The following is an 18,725-nucleotide window of genomic DNA, read 5'->3' as shown; positions in this document are numbered from 1 at the left end:
AATCCCTTCATCACGCCACTGGCGGGCATCGCACAGAAATGAAACTTGACACTTTGAATACCATCTTCTTGGAGACAGAGAAGTTTTCAAAGCATGCAAGTTCAGGCTGTGATTATTCAACATGTAGGACATAGATGGCTAATGGATTTGGTGGGAGGCCTGTAGCCAAATTTACCTTTAGTGACTAAGTGGCCTAATGCAAATCATAGTTTTACTTCCTAATAGTGAAAAACAAAGCATCTTAAAATATTATCTCAGGTATTGTCAGTAATTTCCGAGTTACTTTTGGAGGCTCTGACTCATTTGTATAGAGTTTGCTTTATGTGTCTATCATTAAATGCAAACCATGTTTTGTATTAAGAGTTATGTTAACCAAGTGACATGACCTGACCTCTGGTCAGTGTTTTTTTGGGCATATTTTGTGATGCTTACATCCATCTGTGCTCACTCTCAGTCTCCATCCTGGGAACACAGGACCTGAAATGATATGTAAACATTAAGAAAGAGACATAGATGTCAGGCAGATAGCGAGCATCATAAATTGTGAACAGATAGAAGTTCTTTGCCTTTCCGTGTGTATTTCCACTTGATCTTCCAGCAATGGAGCTCCATAGAAGTGCGTCTAGATTGGTGAGTCACTCTGTACATGTCAGCAGTGTGTTACTCTGACATGTTGAGCTGGAGATGTCCTGTGTCTTAGTATAAGTACTTTGAGGTGCTGATCTGAGAAAATCTAAGTTTCTGAATAATGTGCTCTACCATTGGGACACTGTTTCTAATAATGTCAAAGGCTAGTTGAGATTCTAGGTTATCCTGGTAATCCCTGAAAAACTTCCCAGAAGGTTTCATTTGAACATCATGTTTAGTGGCCACATTAGTGGCTTCCTCAAACCAAAAAGTATAATAAAATTCAATATTTTTTACCACTTCATTTGTGAATGTGATAACTGTAGTTAAGCTGCTGCCTGTCAAGAAGATGCCAGAAGTTTGCCACTGGAATTTTCCCCCCAAAGGCTCTTGTTAAGATAGGGCATTTTTTGAGGCGGGTGGATCATGAGGTCAAGAGATTGAGACCATCCTAGCCAACATGGTGAAACCCAATCTCTACTAAAAATACAAAAATTAGCCAGGCTTGGTGGCAGGTGCCTGTAGTCCCAGCTACTCAGGAGGCTGAAGCAGGAGAATTGCTTGAACCCAGGAGGCAGAGGTTGCAGTGAGCCGAGATCGTGCCAATGCACTCTAGCCTGGTGACAGAGCGAGACTCCATCTCAAAAAAATAAATAAATAAAATAAAAATAGGGCATTTTTAAGAACAAATGAAACCAATGAAATAGAAATCTATTGATGCACAAAAGAGCACAAATGCTCAACAGCTATAAAGCTATTCCATCTAGCGTTTGTGCCATTCCTTATACCGTCCATACAAAAAACAAATGCAAGAGCTCCACTTAAATTTCAAAAGCATCATGCCTATCAGTGGAGGAAGGCCCATTTCCTTCAGTTATTACATCTTTCTTGACTGCTCTAAAGAAAGGGCAGATTTAACACTGTGGAATCCTAAAAGCAGTTGCAATGACCGTTAAGAAAAAGAACAGTTTTCTTCAGATGCTTCCAATGCGACAGATGTGCTTACGACAAATCCTGACTTTCCAAGAACAGCAGAGTGCGTAGATACCTTGGGACTATTTCTCTAAAAGCCCAGTAGCCTGGACATTCATTTTGGAAGGAAACCTGGTGGACACAAATATACCTGACCACACCACTACTCCCTGATCAGCCCCCACCATGTGTGTACGGAAGACACCACACATTGTGGGCAGAAAGACTGATTCTTAAAAATGAACAAGTCAATAGCCAAGATATGGAATCAACCTAGGTGCCCATCAATGGATGAGTGTATAGGAAAATGTGGTTTATACATACATACATACATATATGCATACATTGGAATACTATTCAGCCTTAAAACAGAAGGAAATCCTGCCATTTGCAACAACACAGATGAACTTGAAGGACATTATGTTATGGGAAATAAGCCAGGCACAGAAAGGCAAATACCACATAATCTCACTCATATGTGGAATCTAAAAAAATTGAACTCATAAAAAGCAGAGAGTAAAACAGTTACCAGGAAACGGAAGCAGGGAGAGATTGGGGAGGTGTTGGTCAAAGGATTCAAAATTTCAGTTAGTCAGAGGGAATAAATTCAAGCAATCATGGCTGAGTGTGGTGCCACATGCCTGTAATCCCAGCATTTTGTGAGGTCGAGACAGGAGGATTGCTTGGGGCCAGAATGGGCAACAAAGTGATACGCTATCTCTACAAAAAAAATTTAAAAATTAGTCAGGTATGGTGGCGCACACCTGTAGTCACAGTTACTCAGGAGGCTGAGGCAGCAGGATCACTTGAGCCCCTGAAGTCGAGGCTGCATTGAGCCATGATCATGCCACTGCACTCCATCCTGGGCGACAGAACAAGACCCTGTGTCAAACAAGAAAAGAAAAGAAAGCAAATCTATTGTACATCATGGTGACTATGGTTAACAAAAATAAATTGTATATCTAAAAATTGCGAAGACAGTAGATTTTAAATATTCTTACCAAAAAAGTATGTGAGGTATCAGATATGCTAATTAGCTTGATTTAGCCATTCCACAATGTATACAACATATATCTATCAAAACATCATGTTGCATACAATAAACATATACAATTTTTATTTGTCAGTTTAAATAATTTCTTTAAAAAGTGCTGAGCATAGTTTGGTGTTGCCGTCGGGGGCTCAGGATCAGTGTGATGGACCTCACCATTGGATGTCCCACTTTTCCTCATTCTTTCCTGTCAGTCTAGTTACCCCATCTCCCAACATCACTGTTCTGTTGCTAATAGCCCTTCCTCTCTTGTGCCATCCTATTGAATGCTTTTAACATGCTATTGGTGGGCACAGCAGATGACCCAACTTGTTAGCAACTGTATTTTAAATGAAAATCAACCTCATGGACTTGAAAGCTTTATAAAAAGCTATTTTAGGTGCAACAAGTCTCTTTTGTTTAATTCTAGTACTTTTTTTTTTTTTTTTTTTTTGAGGCAGGGTCTTGCTCTCTTACCCAGGCTGGAGTGCAGTGGTACAATCACAGCTCACTGCAGCCTTGACCTCCTGGGCTCAAGTGATCCTCCCACCTCAGCCTCCCGAGTAGCTGGGACTACAGACATGCACCGCCACACCTGGATGTTTTTGTAGTTTTTGTAGAGATGAGATTTCGTCATGTTGCCTAGGCTGGTCTTGAACTCCTGGGCTTAAGCGATCCTCCTGTTTTGGCTTCCCAAAGTGTTGGGATTACAGGTGAGAGCTACTGTACCTGGCCTAATTCTAGCAAATTTCTAAAATATACCCAAACCTACAAGGCTGAGGGAAGTGAGGGATTCACAGAATAATTTATGTAGAAGAGATGACAAATAATTTGGTTCTAACCTTCTTACTTTACATGTGAGCAAACTGAGCTCAGAAAGATTTAATGACTCCTCAGATGGAGAGTTATTGTTAATAAACTATGTTCAGCAGAGTTTGCATGGTTTGAGCCAACAATCACTATAACATCTTTTATTTTATTATTATTATTTTTTGAGACAGGGTCTCACTCTGTCACCCAGGCTAGAGTGCAGTGGTGCAAGCATAACTCACTGCAGCCTTGAACTCCTGGGCTCAAGTGATTCTCCTGCCTCAGCCTCTCTAGCAGCTTGGGACTACAGGTGTGCACTCCCACACCTGGCTAACTTTTTAGTTTTTTTTGTAGAGACAGGGTCTTGCTATGTTGCCCAGGCTGGTCTTGAACTCCTGGCTTCAAATGGTCCTCCTGCCTTGGCCTCCCAAATACTATAAAATCTTAACTACATCCATGGAAGGAATTTCTGGTTACTAAAAGTAATACATTTAATGCTTGGTACAGTTTCTCTAAATTCCCCTGCTCTTTATTAAAACTTATTTAATCACATCTATACTTATTTACATACTTTTTTTCCCCCATCCTGACAAGTCACAGAATCTTGAGGTTAAGGGTCCTGGTCCTATTATTATTATTATTATTTTGAGACAGTCTCACTCTGTTGCCCAGGCTGGAGTGCAATGGCACAATCCCGGCTCACTGCAACCTCTACCTCCTGTGTTCAAGTGATTCTCATGCCTCAGCCTCCCGAGTAGCTGAGATTACAGGGATGTGCCACCACGTCCAGCTAGTTGGTTTTTTTTTTTTTTTTGTATTTTTAGTAGAGACAGGGTTTTACCATGTTGGCCAGGCTGTTCTCAAACTCCTGACCTCAAGTGATCCACCCACCTCTGCCTCCCAAAGTGCTGGGATTACAGGCCTATTCATTTTTATATATAGCCCAACAACTTAAACATAAAATATACTTTGTATTTTTTCCTTGTCGAAGGAAATCAAAATGTATATGGAAATTAGTAAAGGAACATTTAAAGAATCCAACTTAGGAACTGCTACTGGGAAATGTGTTTATGAAATGCATTTTTATTTTTATTTATTTTTAGAGGTGAGGTCTTGCTCTGTTGCCTAGGCTGGAGTGCGGTGGCTCGATCATAGCTCACTGCAGGTTTCAACCCCTGGGCTTAAGAGAGTAGTCCCCACCTCAGCCTCTTGCGTAGCTCGGACTATAAGGCTCAATCCATTGCACCTGGCCATTTTCATCTTTATTTAAGAAAGCCAGATGCTTGCATTAGGCACAAGAATCCAGTTTTTAAAGATGCATGCTGGAGGATAACTCAGAATCATATGAATGGGGTTATTATAAATACAAAAAATAACTGAAGACTTTCAGTGAAAGATAGCATCCTTTGGGAGTAAAATGCCAATGGTGTCCCTTAAAAAGCTAAGTAATGAAGTGAATATGCCTCTTATGAGTTGTTGGATTTTTAGAAAATAAATGTTCAGTACTTTTGTTTCATGTTTTTAAAAACAAACAAAAAGACCCAACAAGTGATAGTTAATAGGATATGAACTGAGGACAAAAATGCTAGCTCACATTTACTGAGAATTACTGCATTCCAGATGGCATACCAAGTACCTTGTATTATTATATGTTATACGTACATTGCAATAGTTATATAACTAAACACTCCATTATAATGTATTATAATACTGCAATGAACTTAGTTTTTAAGAAATCGATATTTTTCCCTGTCCAAAATGTTGCTATCCTCCATTTACATTTAAGTAGTATTTATCAAATCTATTACTACCCGGCACAATGCTAGTTGCTTTACACAGATTTAAATATTACTTCATTATCCTTTATGGTCTCAGTCATCACACAGAGTTACATTTTTTTTAGAAGAAGAACCACCCAGCTTGGAGCAGTGGCTCATGCCTAGAATCCCAGCACTTTGGGAGGCTGAGGCAGGCGGATTACTTGAGCCCAGGAGTTCAAGACCAGCTTGGGCAACATGGTGAGACTCAGTCTCTACAAAAAATTCAAAAATTAGCTGGGTGTGGTGGTGTGTGCCTATAGTCCAAGCTACTTGGGAGGCTGAGGTGGGAGGATTGCATGAGCCTGGGAGGTGGAGGCTGCAAGTGAGCTCTGATCACGCCACTGCTCTCCAGCCTGGGAGACAGAGTGAGACCCTGTCTCAAAAAAGAAGAAAAGAACCACCCCTCATTGTAAATTAATTATTCATTTAACAAAATTTTATTTCATTCAACCCCTTTTGCAGAAAGAGAAAATTAAGCCTTAAAAAAATGCCTAAGTGTACATAAACACCTAGGAACAGGTTAGATACAAACGAAGCTTCTTCAGTTTGACAGATTGTCATGACACATTATATTCCAGGAAGTTCTGAATCAGACACATTCTTCAGTTTTGTGATTTAAAAAAATCAAAATAATTACTGACTGTGCAGTGCAGATGCCTAACACAAGGGCGGTAGGTGCTTTCCTAACTGGGGTGCTGGGATACAAGCCACAGCAGGAGAGGCTGGCTCTTGGGTGGGGGTACAAGTCAGTACAGTACAGGACTAGCGGCAAAGTTGCTTAATCAGCTGCTGAGCTCCCTGCACAAAGAGGGCCCCAAGGCTGGGACCATCTAACCCACTGTTGCTCAGTGGCCATTTCCTTTCAACTTACCATCTTCCGGCTCCTGCCCCAGCACTCTCTTGAAAGGCACTTTCTAGATTCCTTCCTTTTGCCAGACTCTGTGGTCTTTCCATTGCCAGTATCCTAGGGTTACCAGATTTAAAAATAAAAATAGAGTGCCCATTTAAATGTGGATTTCAGATAAATAATAAATGATTTTAAAATGTAAGTAATAGGTATGCTATATTTTTAAAGTGCGGTAGCGTGATCAGAGCTCACTGCAGTCTCAAACTCCTGAGCTCAAGCTATCCTCCCACCTCAGCCTTTCAAGTAACTAGGACAACAGGGGCACGCCACCATGCCCAGCTAATGAAGAAATGCATTTTTTTGTGGAAATGAGATCTTGCTATATTGCCAGGCTGGTGTTGAATTATTGGTCTCAAGTAACCCTCCTGCCTCGGCCTCCAAAAGTGCTGGGACTCCCGGTGTTTGCCACCACGCCTGGCCCTTAGTGTGTCATGCTAATAATATTTAAACTTATACATAAAATATATGTTGTTTATCAGAAATTCAAATTTAGTTTCAGGCTCTGAATTTCGTCTGGCAACCCTACTTCATTCTCTTTGTGTTCCCTGTGGTGCGTGACCCCTTGACCTCCGACCCTCTGTGAAACGCTCTTCCTTTGGGTTGTATCACATGCATCACATGCTTTTTCTTTTCTGCTCTTCTGCCTGCTTTGGTGACTTCCAGCCAGCGTGGGGATCATTAGAGTGCATCCCTGCACCTCTGCTTTGATCTTGGTAAGCTTTCTCCTAGTCGGGGCCATCTATTTCTATCACTTAAATCAGTGGTTCTCAAAGTGTGATCCTGGAGTTGCAGCAGCAGCACCACCTGCAAACTACACAGAAATGCAAATTCTCAGACTTACAGAATCAGAACTTCTGGAGTGGGCCCAGAAATCCGTGTTTTAAGAAGCCCTCTAGTGTTTCTGATGCAAGCAAAAGTTTTTGAGGCACTGGATAAGATGATCATTTCCATGCTGTTGCCTCCCAAATCTTTATGGTGAGCCCTGACTTCATACCCAAACTTCTCTCTAGAATTTCAAGGTGGAGTATTTTGGGGAATGTTAATATATGAGAGGAAAAAAAAAGCTGTATGGCCAAAAAGAGTTTATATAGTATTGCAACATTTCTTAAAAGTATTTAAGTGCTGAGGCATGGTGGCTCACGCCTATAATCCCAACATTTTGGGAGGCCAAGGAGGGCAGATTGCTTGAGCTTAGGAGTTTGAGAATAGTCTGAGCAACATGGTGAAACCTTGTCTCTACAAAAAAATTAAAAAATTATCTGGGTGTGGTGGTGTGCACCTGTAGTCCCAGCTACTCAGGAGGCTGAGGTGAGAGGATCATCTGAGTCCGGGAGGCTGAGGCTGCAGTGAGCCGTGATTGTGCCACTGCACTCCAGCATGGGTGACAGAGTGAGACCCTATATCAAAAAAAAAAAAAAAAAAAAAAAGAGTATTTGACCATCAGGACCTATTTGCAGGAGCCTGTGGAAAATGCAACAACAGAACTTTTCCAGCTGGATGGCTTCTTTGGAACCACAAAGTAGTCCCCCTTATCCATAGTTTCGCTTTCTGAGGTTTCAGTTACCTGTGGTCAACCATGGTCCAAAACTATTAAATGGAAAATTTCAGAATTAAACAGTTGTTAGGTTTTCAGTCGAGCGTGCCCTGAGTAGTGTGATGAAATCTTATGCCATCCCGCTGTGTTTCACCTGGGACATAAACCAGCAATACCTGGGAATTCAATAGAAATACAGATTCTTGGGCCCCACCCCAGACCTACTAACTCCAAAACCCTCTGGGGGAAGCCCAGCAATCTGTGTCTTACCACGTCCTCCAGGTGATTCTGATGCAGGCTGAAGTTTGAGAACCACTGACCCAGAGAATTAGTGTGGGGAATAAAAAGCCTTTTAACCCTTAGTACACAGGTGTGCACTATTTAAAAAGTGTGTAGTGTTTTCCTAAGGGGGCCGGTCGAGTCCCCTCCTCTGTAGTGTACACCAGAGACATAGTGTACACCAGGGACAGGTTGAGTGACTTCCACAGAGCATTCCTTTGGAGCCTGTGCCCTGTGCGCTCAGAAGAGGAAACGCTGAATTCAAAGGCTCCTCGTAGAAGACTAGGGGCTCTGTAATAGGGTTTGGAATCCTTAGAAATTGGGCTCATAATTAAATATTGCATCCCATCTATGTTTAAGTAAAGCCACTTTTAAAACACTAAACCTAAGCTGGGCGTGGTGGCTTATGCCTATAATCCCAGTACCCTGGGAGGCTGAGGTGTGAGGATCGATTGAGGCCAGGACTTGGAGACCAGCCTGGGCAACATAATAAAACCCTATCTCTTAAAAAAAATTTTTTTTTAATTAGCTAGGTGTGAAGATGATGTGTGCCTATAGTCCTAGCTACTTGAGAGGCTGAGGTGGGAGGATTGCTTGAGCCCAGCAAGTTGAGGCTAAAGTGAGCTGTGATCAAGCCACTGCACTCCAGCCTGGGTGACAGAGGAAGACCCTGTCTCTAAAACAAAACAAAACACACTAGACCTGTGCAACCACTAAAATTTGCTTCCATATACTGGCAAATGTCATTATGACATGAGTAGAAAGGGTCAGGAGAGGGCGTGTTTGAATTTTCAACACCATTAGCACGTTGCCTGTGTCTCTTTGAGAACCTGGCACAGGGAACTCTTGGATCCCAGTGGATGTTGTGCAATAGCTCTTTGAACATTTCCTTCAGAAGTGGAAATGTCTCACATACAAAAGAGGAGGAACATCCAGACAGATAGTGCAAACCTGATGTTCTGCACTTCCATCTGATCTAAATGGTGAATCCATGTTAGTCTAGATGACACAATACACATTTCAAACAGAGAATGCCATTAGAAAGTTGATTGATTTTTACATCATCACATGGACTAGTTTTTCTAGTGTATTGTATTATACACGTCTGGCACTTAGCAGTTGCTTGGTAAATATTTGCCATGGGAATGAATGAAATACAAACTCTCTTCCAAGGTTGGCAGCTCACCTAACAAAAGTGGTTCTGCCTGCAGAAGGGAGAGGGGGCTCAAAGAGAAGTGGCTGGAATGCCAGCACGGGTCTCTGTTGGGGTGGAGGGAGTGGCTGGCCCATAGCCTCCATGATTACCACCCTGGGTTGGGTGGGTAGGGAGCCCTGGACTGGAAACCAGAGCTCAGTGATTCTCCTGCTCCAGTGATTCGCTGACTTGGCCTCCCTTTTCATAGCCAGTTGTCAGTGTAAGAACAGAGAAAAACTTTAGATCTTAGAACAACTTTTTAAACATTTTCCACCATGACCCACAGTTAGAATGTATTTTATTTTGTGAACCGGGAAAGACACCAACCAAAACATAATTGAAACAAAAGTTTCACAGCACAATAGTTACCTTAGTACATGTGATACACAATGGACTCTATTCTTGTCCACACTGTTCCATTAAAGAAAAATATGACACACTTACTGATTTCACAGTCCACTAGTAGGCTGAGACCACACAAGAATCCTGAAGGAAGGGATGGCCTTCAGGCCCTCCATCTCAGGTACCATCTGGGAAGGGAAGGATAATCCTCCCTATGCCCACACCTGGAAACATGCTTAAGTCCCAGGAAAGTGTCATGTAAATCCTTGTTTTCTAGATTCTGAACGAGAAAGCTCAAAAGAGAGGTCTTTGCTTCTACATTTAGAATATTATACATGAGCCAGGTGTGGTGGCTCATGCCTGTAATCCCAGCACTTTGGGAAGCTGAGGCAGGAGGATTGCTTGAGGCCAGGAGTTTGAGACCAGCCTGGGCAACACAGCAAGACCCCAACTTTACAAAAAACTAAAAAATTAGCCAGGCATGGTGGTGTGTGCCTGTAGTCCTGCCTACTGGGGAGGCTGAGGTGGGAGGATGGTTTGAATCCAGGAATTTAAGGTTACAGTGAGCTATGATTGTGCCACTGCACTCCAGCCTGGGCAACAGGGTGAGATCCTGTCTCTAAAAAAATAAAATAAAATATTATATACATCTTAATAAGGTTCTTTGCTGTGACTTTCCCTAGGGAGGTGGCCACTCCTGACTGCTCCAGAGAGGAGCTCCCATGAGCAGAAGGACTGTGGCAGCTGCTGTACTCAGTGCTACCAAGCAGAGAGTTATGGAGGCTCCAGGCTGACACCTCCACTGTCAGAACCCCTACATCAGTGCTCCCCAAAGTATTTCTCACTCCATGAGATTTTACTAAGTGTTCTTGGGAGGGAAGATGGAGAGTTGGTTCTGTGATAAAATAAGTCAAGGAAATGTTGGTTGAGACAACTTCTCAGAGCCTCTGACATGCTATATTGTGTTATGTGTGTGAAATGTTTAGGGTGTGGTAGGGGGAACACAATGTGGTATTTTCCTGCCATATTTAACCCCAGAACCATTTTTTCCAATAATCCCTGGAAATCTGCAGAACACAGTTTAGGGAATGCTTCCTGAAGTGACTGCAATCTGCTTCTTCCACTAGCTAGGAGAAAAAGCAAACGAGAGACTTCATTCCTGTGCCAATTGTGGACCGGGCTGGGGACTGAGCTAGGGCTTTGGCTAAGAAAATGAGAAAGCAACAGAACTTTGAATGCATGTCGGGCAGACCCTTGTTATTTATGTATTCATCTTTTGTAGTTTTAACTATTCAAAAGAGACTATGGTGGCCTGTGGCGGAAAGTAATTTAGACATTTACCAAAGCCACCCAAACTGTGGGCTGTGAAGCAGAGACATCAAGTCAGTGAATCAACGGAGCTGCCTCTCTAGCCTCCAAGTCTCAATGTGACTTTATGTCTATCTGTCTTTATAACTCTGAAGTTATAGCATTTGTCATTTTTCTGGTATTTGTAGATGTGAAGATTCATGAAGGTCTCAGGACAAATTCCTCATACAAATCAAGATCCTATTGTAATTTAGGTTTGAATTTATCAATCTGAAAGCCCCAAAAAAGGTCCCATGTACAACTGTGAAAGCTGTACCCTGCCCACATCTTGGGGGTGCCATTCATACAGAAGGTGGCATAAGTGAAGCCCTTTGGAGCTGAGTGACAGCAGTAACCCTCTAAAAATATTTGTGTTTTAAACTCTAAAAAACAAAACAAAGTTACAGAGTTGTTGATCAGAATGTCCAGTGAGTTCTCTTTCACTCTTGACTAAATCCATTGGCTGGCGTTTTTCAGTAAGGACAGCATCTTGGCTTGGGATTGGGTGAGCAACTTAAACACTGGATTCAGACTCCAGCTCACCAGCTCCTGTTTGGGCAATCCAAGACTCACTTCCAAAACAGGAATGTTGACAACAGTACTCACCCCACCAAGCTGAGGTGAGATAAAGCATATTAAATAGCTCTTTACAAACGTCATTTGTAGTCACTGGAGAAAGCCATGTCCTGCTGAGCTCTCTACTCTCAAATGTTGATGCCCAAAGTTTGCCACCCCATGGCCAGTGGCACTGGGAAGGTCCCATGGGCAGTGTCAAGGAGAAGTGGGTTGCAACACAATTGCTTAATACTTCTGAAAGAGGCTATTATTTTGCCTAAACTTTATGATTTGCTGTGATCTGGAGAGAGGTGGGACCCCTGAACACTGGAGTCTACCCAGAATTCCTTTTACTTCTAAAAGTTTTTGCAGCCATACATAGGTATTAAATCATTTCTTGGATCAAAACTATCATTATCCTGGTTCCTTGTAGATGTACTGTTACATTTACATCCAAAACATAAAATACACTCATGATCTCAGAGGTGGCAGTTTTGGGGCAGCATCTTTGTGTATCATTTAACTGTAAAATGAACAATCATCTTTCCGAAGAGTAGGAGAATGAGGACTTCATGAAACCATCACACAAGAGCACACTTTGAGATGTGGGATTTCATGATGGTAAAATCGACCTTCCTTAGGAGGTACGTGGGAAGGAAACTAGAAAGGTTGGCGCAGTTACATTTCATACCTTGGTTAAATAAATCATGCGGTCTATTTCTTAACCAACTGGCACAACTGCAACCCTCTTTCCATTCTTCTTAACAGGATCTGTTCCTCATTTGCAGTCTTTATTTCTCTACACACCTGTTTTCCCCAAAGTCTTAGAACTGCAAGAGGAGCCTGGCTTGGCCGTGCTGGTTATCCCATCGTCTTCACGTTAGCGCTTGTCTCGGTGTAGCCCACCGTGTCTCCTCCAGTGTCCCCTGCAACTTCCCCCGCAGTGTCCCTGCTTCTGTGGAAGCCTCTCGGCCTGGACTTCCTTGCGAGCAGCAGTTTAAAGGCCGCCGCTCTGTACTTCTTTGAAATGAGGTTGTAGAGGATTGGGTTGATAGATGCGCTCAGATAGAAAAGTTGCAGAGCGACGATGTTAAAGTACTGAGAGAAGTACATCATCCGCGAATCTTCCGTGTTTATGTAAATGATTCTGCCAACGTGGAAGGGCAACCAGCAAATTATAAATGCCAGAACCACCACCACTGCAACATAAGACACAGCACCGGGATTAACAAAAGCATTGGGAAGCAAATAAACCCCCCACCCCGACAAGGAACCATCTGCAATAACAAGTAACAGCAAAATAAATTAGAGAAAACTTCTACCTAGGCAGATCCTCACCCCAGAAAAAATGACCAGGCTGCAGGCTGCATGGATACTTGCTTTAAAACTGCATAGTAGGCTCCCATATGTGTTATCAAGGCTGGACATAAACCAGAAGGAGCAATTTCTCTGAACAAGCCGCCTTGGCAGGCTTCCTTCCACAAACCCACTTCGGAGACAAGTTTTCTGTTCTCTGTTGAAAAGAATTCTACAACAGGTCTGCACAATCTTTACTTTTTGATACGAGCAAGGTTTACTTTAGCCTTCAGCATCACTTAACATTAAATAAAAAATTTTAGCTTAATGAAATCTCCCTCGTCTTCTCAAGAGCACTGTGAGGACTCCTCATCTGTGGCATCTAACAGGTGGTTGGATTAAGAATTACCAACTCTCCTTTCTGGTCTCAGAGGCTCTGGAAAAGCACTGCTGGTTACTGAATCGGATCCGGGGATCCCACCCTCAAAGCGCCCTGGGGTCCCCCAGAGCTCCTGGGGGACAGGACATGGTTTTCTCGGGGGATGGGAAGTACCGGCGGGTGGAGGCTGGAATCGAAATAGGAAAGGGAGCTGGAAGCGGCGCCCAGAGCTGGGCGAGCAGGGGAAGGGGACCCAGCGTTTGCGCGGTCCCCGGCGGGGCGGACTGCAGGCAGGCGTCTTTGGAACCACGGCGGCTCCACTTACGCAGGACGCGGACGGTCTGCCGGTGGCCTCTCTCCCGCCCCGAGGCGGCCGGGCCTCGCAGCGGCCGCCGGCTGCTCCACAGCTCCCGCCCGATGAGCCCGTAGAGGATGCTGAGGCACAGAAAGGGCAGGAAGAAGTAGGCGGTGGTGACCCACAGCATGACACGCAGCGCGCCCAGCTGCGCGGGGCTCGGCCGGCATTCGCGGCTGAACAGCGCCGCGGCCTCCGCGGTCTCGGGCCCCGACGGCGGGGACGGCGGTGGCGCCCGCGAGAGCCAGAGAGGCGGCGACGAGGCGAGAGGCGAGGAGGCGATCCGCGCGGTGCCATTGAGGCCCGGGACTACGGAGATGCCGGGGTCCTGCTCGACGCCCACCAGGAACAAGAAGGGACCGGCAGAGAGCAGCGCCACGGCCCAGAGCACAGCGATGAGCGCGCGGACGCGGCGCCGGGTGACCAAGACGCGGGCGCGGAGCGGGCGGCAGATGGCCAGGTAGCGCTCGACGCTGAGCGCGGTCATGTGCAGCAGCGTGGCGTAGGTGCAGCCCTCGCCCACGTAGAGGGACAGGCGGCAGAGCAGCGGCCCGAACACCCAGGGCCGCGAGCGCCAGAGGCGGTACAGGTCGAACGGCAGCCCGAGCAGGATGAGTAGGTCGGACACGGCCATGCTGCCCAGGTACAAGTTGGTGGTGGTCCGCATGTCCCGGTAGCGCCCGATCAGCATCACGGTCACCACGTTGCCGCTCACCCCGACGACGAACAGGCACAGGCACACAGCGGTCACCGGCACCAGCGCCCCCAGGGGAAAGGGCGAGCAGCGGCGCTCGTCGCAAGGCGGCAGCGCGGGCCACGGCGGCTCCCGCGCCCCCTCGGGGCCGTCGCTGCCGTTCCAGGGGCTGCCCATGGGTGCTCCGCGCGGCCGCCGCGTCCCGGGTCGGGCTGGGAGCCTGGCGCGTGGTCCCTCTCGGTGAGCGCCTCCTTTCCCAGCCCGCACGCTGCGGGCGCGGCAGGTCAGACGGCGGAGCGCTGCGCTGCGCTGCGGGGCGCGAGAAGCGGCTCTGCGGGGTGGGCTCCGAGGCGCTCCCGAGCTAGCTGCGCGCAGTCTCCGCCCACGGCCGCGGCCCGCCCCGGCCCGGCCCTGCTCCGCTCCCGCGCCCTCTCCCGGGCCCATGCAGTTCCAGGGCGCTTCCCTCTCCACTAACTGGAATACCCGGCGCCCTTAGCGCACGAGCCCTACCCGGTCCGGTGAGCGATGTCTGCACCCTAGACAGCTTTGGTTACAGGACTGAGCACTGTACGGGCGCTTTTGTCAGTCTGGTACTCCGGGCACCTTCGAAGGGATCTGGTCTGGTGGCTGGTAGCTGCCGCTTGACGGTGGAGGAGGGCTCATGGTAATCCTCAGGAAGCCATAATGCTAAATAATAGGAGGGGAGTCTAGACCAGAATCTAGAGCCTCTCCTGTCTAATCCTGGCTCTACAACCGAGTAACTTGTGTAATCTTGGGCTAGTCCTGGTCTCGCCCAGCCCAGTTCTCCTCTTCTGTAAATTCGCGAGTGGTGGAGGGAGCTGACCATATAATTGACCAAATAATTTCTTTTTTTTCTTTTTTTCTTTCTTTCTTTCTTTTTTTCTTCTTGAGACAGGGTCTCACTGTCGTCCAGGCTGGAGTTTAAGTGGCGCGATCACAGCTCACTGCAGCCTCGACCTCCCAGGCTCAAGCAGTCCTCCCACCTCAGCCTCCTGAGTAGCTGGGAGCACAGGAGCGCCCAAGCCCCGGCTAAATTTTGTGTTTTTTGTGTAGTCAGGGTTTCGCCATGTTGGCCAGCCTGGTCTCGAACTCCTGACCCCAGGTGGTCCACCCGCCTCGACCTCCCAAAGTGCTGGGATTACAGGCGTGAGCCACCGCGCCCGGCAGTGACCAGATAATTTCAAGGATCCGTGAGCATGTTTACTTATTATAAAGAACAAGACAAATATTTACGTGGACACTAGAGTACTTTCACATGTGATATGTCATTCTTATGTACAACATGTTTTATAAACTTAAAAAACTAGAGGATTTGTCAACACCGGAAAGAACGAAAATTGGGGAAAGGGGCTAAAACGGATGTTCAGTCTGTTCGGTGTGGTCTTAATAACAATAGCTAACACTTACTGAGAATTTAGATGGATCTGGCCCTGTGCTCTCCATTTAATCCTCATGGCCCGGGGCGCTCCTTTCGCCCATGAACAAAGCGGTCTTGCTTGAGATCAAGCAGGCAGTAAGAGGCGGGACTGGGATATGGGCTCTGGTCGGCCTAATCCCAGAGCTTGCAAGCCTGACGTCCTACTCACTGCCCAGCTCCACCCCCTCAGTGGCTTAAATCCTCAACCTCTTCTCTGGAGTCTCGATTCTGGACCTGACACCTGGCTTTGCCTAGGGCAAGCTTCTCCTGCAGTTCTCTCTCACATGCAGACTGTGAGCTTGGAGGAGGGACACCTGTCGCCTCCCTCATCGCTGCTGTTTCCAGCGGTCCTAAAACCGCCCTCCCTAGCGCTTTCCTCCGTGGTCACCCGTAGTCCCTGAGGGACAGGTGCCTGCGCTCTCTTTGAAGCACTGCATCTGCGGCCGTTCACACCCATGCCGAGTCTTGGAATGCCTTGGCCTCTAGTTTGTTGACCTCCTTTCCACCTATGACCTTGCTCTCCACCCGATCTCAGCCGCGCCTGTCGACGGAACTTACACCTCACGGTTGCCTGCCAGCCTTCCTCCACCTCCACTTCAGTCAGCCCTCTTTCTGACCTCCGCCCGCTCTCTTTTTAGCTCTCTTCCCCTAGCACCTCAGTTCCGGTAATCCTTCAACCCACTGCGACCTCCATCGCTGGCTCCTCCTTCCTTTTCCCGGTCCCTTGCCTGCCCCAGGTCTTCACTTTCTTCCTTTACCCAACGTAAATTCCACGGGCAGTCGCCATCACTCCCACACAGACGCCCTCGACTCCCTTGCTCTTTTCTCCATTGTCAGCCTCGTCCATCCACCAAGAGCACCACAACCCTGGTGAAGCCGAATTCCCTGCCTACTCCTTGCCTGCTCTCACATGGCGTTGTTTCACTTGAAAGCACAACCTCTAGCGGGGTGCTTCGTTCCCCCGGCCTTCCCAACTCTCACCTGACCTCATTCACTCTCCCACCACCAGGCTGCTGGTTTATACCCCCTCCTCTCTCCTTAGACCCAACACCCACCACCCCTTCCTTTGGGAGGTTTCCTTGCACCCTGTTTCTCTGAAGATAACTACCACACCCCCACCTCTGCTCGTGCTCCCCTGGGACAGTTGGTGGTACTTGCAGCTGAAGTCAGCTCTGCCCCTTAAGTGCTCCTTTCTCCTCCTCCAGACATCACTGCGTCAATTCTCTTTCTCTCTCTCTTGTCATCAGTTTTTCTCTCCTGGATCATTTTCATGCAAAACTCCTCAAAATAGTTTCTGTACTCACAGTTTCCACTTTTTCTTCCTCCCTGTCTCCTCCCCCTAGGCAGAGAAAATGTAATTTCTTCATTTATAGTTGATTTGATTTTCCCCTGTGCTCTCAACAAGAGAAATGAATGCTCTAGCCTAGGTAAGGCATGATCCAGGCGGATCAGTTAAGCAGCCCCTCTGGGCAGTGTTCCCTTCTCTCAGACATCATGCCTTTCCTCAAGGTGGCCCAGGTGTACGGGGAGAGGGGTCAGTGGCTTAAAGCTAGAGGGAGAGGTCCTTATGAAGCTTCACGCCGGCTCCTGGGGTGTCAGGGGCTGGCATTTGCTAGACTCCAGTTCCATGTTCCCTTCCTGCCTGGTCACCAGTGGCTCTGCTAGCCTTGGGCGCATGGGCCTGTGGCTAGTGAAGAGGTAGCTTCTTTCTTGGACTCAGGTGATGCTATCAGGAGCACTTGACATCTTCCCCATGGCTCTCATGGGCTGCGAATCCCTGAGTCTCTTTGGTTTTTCCCATTTGCTCCTTGGCCTGATGGACTACCCCAGCCTCTGCTGAAGCCTCCCTTATTCCCTTCCCCACCCACCATGGTGGCGCTGAGGCAGGCTCACTGAGTCTGCAGTCAGCATCCTGGCTGTTGTGAATTACTCACCTCCATTCAGGCACTCCCTCTCTATGGTATTTTCTCCATATTGCTTATTATCAACTGACATACTATTTAATTTACCTAGCTATTTGTTTATTATCTATCTCTATCTCCCAACATTATGTGCACCAGAAGGCAGGGCTTTAATCTGCTGTGTTCACTGCTGTTTCCTTAGTGCCTGGCACAAAGTGAGAATTTAATAAATATTTGTTAACTTGGAGAATGAATGAGCTTCTGTAGAACCAGGTACCATTGTTTTCTTTACAATTCCTAGCCGTTAAAACAGTGCTCTGATTGTAGTGGGTGCTCAGTAAGTAGTCACTGATACTTCAGCTTAAGACAGAATACTGATATGGAGAGGTGGAGACCCAGCGGGCTTTTTTGATAACATTGCTATGCTGAGGTTCAAACATAACTTGGCCCTTAGGACATATCTGAGCTCTTATGATGGGTTGGCATTCAATGTTTTAGGAAGGAATGGGACCAGATCTGTTTTCTACTTTGTGTTTCTGTAGACATTCACCAGCTTCCTGACTTCATAGTTAATCTAGCGAGAGGAAGAGGAAGTTCTCAGTAGACCGGGAGCATGGGCGTCTCTCTTCTTTACTCTTTGAGTACCTCTCCACCTGTAACTCATGTGGGGCAAGGGTGGGTCTAGGTTTGGCCCAGCTACGGCCTGCGTCCCCAGAGGCAAGAGGTTGGTGTCATCAATAGGCTCTTGGCCCCGGGCTGGAGGCCTCACTTGTTGGCTTTTGATGAATATAAAGGGATGGTCTGGATGAATATAAAGCTAATGCTTGCTGTGTGCAAGGCACTGTTCCAAGTACTTTCATATCTGAATGCATTTAATCCTCCACAGCAGTCCAAGGCAGCAGGTTCTTTTAGTATCTCTATGTTAGAGATGAGAAGAGCAAAGCACAGAGAAGTGACCCCAGGTCACTGGGACAGCCAGTAAGGGTGGTGCTGTCCACTTCCAGAGTCCATGGGCATAACTACTGTGCTGGGTGGCCTCTTGCTATACAGACCATAGCACCACCAGCTGCAGAGAATGCTAGGTTATGATCTGGATTCTGCTAGGAAAGTGTCTTCCAGTGTCTTTCTCAGAAACCAGATTTTATGGGCAAATTGAAGAATCTGGAAAGTTGTGAGGAGCATTAAAATACCTCCGTAACGGCCGGGCGCGGTGGCTCACGCCTGTAATCCCAGCACTTTGGGAG

The 18,725-nt window shown here is 46.6% G+C and overlaps 1 protein-coding gene and 1 pseudogene across 1 annotated transcript, besides 4 other annotated features; both read right to left on the bottom strand.

The window, feature by feature from the left end:
• Positions 258 to 1,783, bottom strand: THAP12P10 (THAP domain containing 12 pseudogene 10; annotated as a pseudogene).
• MLNR (motilin receptor) lies at positions 12,280 to 14,319 on the bottom strand. The gene is made up of 2 exons (NM_001507.1): positions 13,419 to 14,319; positions 12,280 to 12,617 (listed from the first exon to the last, which is right to left on the bottom strand). Exons 1-2 carry the CDS (start codon positions 14,317 to 14,319, stop codon positions 12,280 to 12,282), a joined length of 1,239 nt encoding a protein of 412 aa, NP_001498.1.
• Positions 14,287 to 14,366: a silencer, noted in NCBI's record as "silent region_5340". NCBI's record gives its function as "represses an Ori minimal core promoter by ATAC-STARR-seq in GM12878 lymphoblastoid cells {active_cell/tissue: GM12878}" and the evidence as "EXISTENCE:reporter gene assay evidence [ECO:0000049][PMID:35858748]".
• Positions 14,437 to 14,696: a silencer, noted in NCBI's record as "silent region_5339". NCBI's record gives its function as "represses an Ori minimal core promoter by ATAC-STARR-seq in GM12878 lymphoblastoid cells {active_cell/tissue: GM12878}" and the evidence as "EXISTENCE:reporter gene assay evidence [ECO:0000049][PMID:35858748]".
• Positions 14,437 to 14,889: a biological region, named in NCBI's record as "ReSE screen-validated silencer GRCh37_chr13:49793904-49794160".
• Positions 14,633 to 14,889: a silencer, noted in NCBI's record as "fragment chr13:49793904-49794160 (GRCh37/hg19 assembly coordinates)". NCBI's record gives its function as "represses an EF-1alpha promoter that drives an FKBP-Casp9 reporter gene in an ReSE screen in phorbol 12-myristate 13-acetate-treated (for megakaryocytic differentiation) K562 erythroleukemia cells {active_cell/tissue: K562(+PMA)}" and the evidence as "EXISTENCE:reporter gene assay evidence [ECO:0000049][PMID:32094911]".

The sequence above is a fragment of the Homo sapiens genome, chromosome 13, assembly GCF_000001405.40.
Source record: "Homo sapiens chromosome 13, GRCh38.p14 Primary Assembly".
In the NCBI taxonomy this organism is placed as follows: domain Eukaryota; kingdom Metazoa; phylum Chordata; class Mammalia; order Primates; family Hominidae; genus Homo; species Homo sapiens.
This window is presented reverse-complemented; position numbering and strand designations above follow the sequence as displayed.

Excerpts from the sequence above, each read along its gene's own strand:
- MLNR (NM_001507.1), bottom strand. The coding sequence starts at position 14,319 with ATGGGCAGCCCCTGGAACGGCAGCGACGGCCCCGAGGGGGCGCGGGAG. Across the intron at positions 12,618-13,418 it reads GCAGACCGTCCGCGTCCTGC|TGGTGGTGGTTCTGGCATTT; the intron begins GTAAGTGGAGCC and ends CTTATGTTGCAG.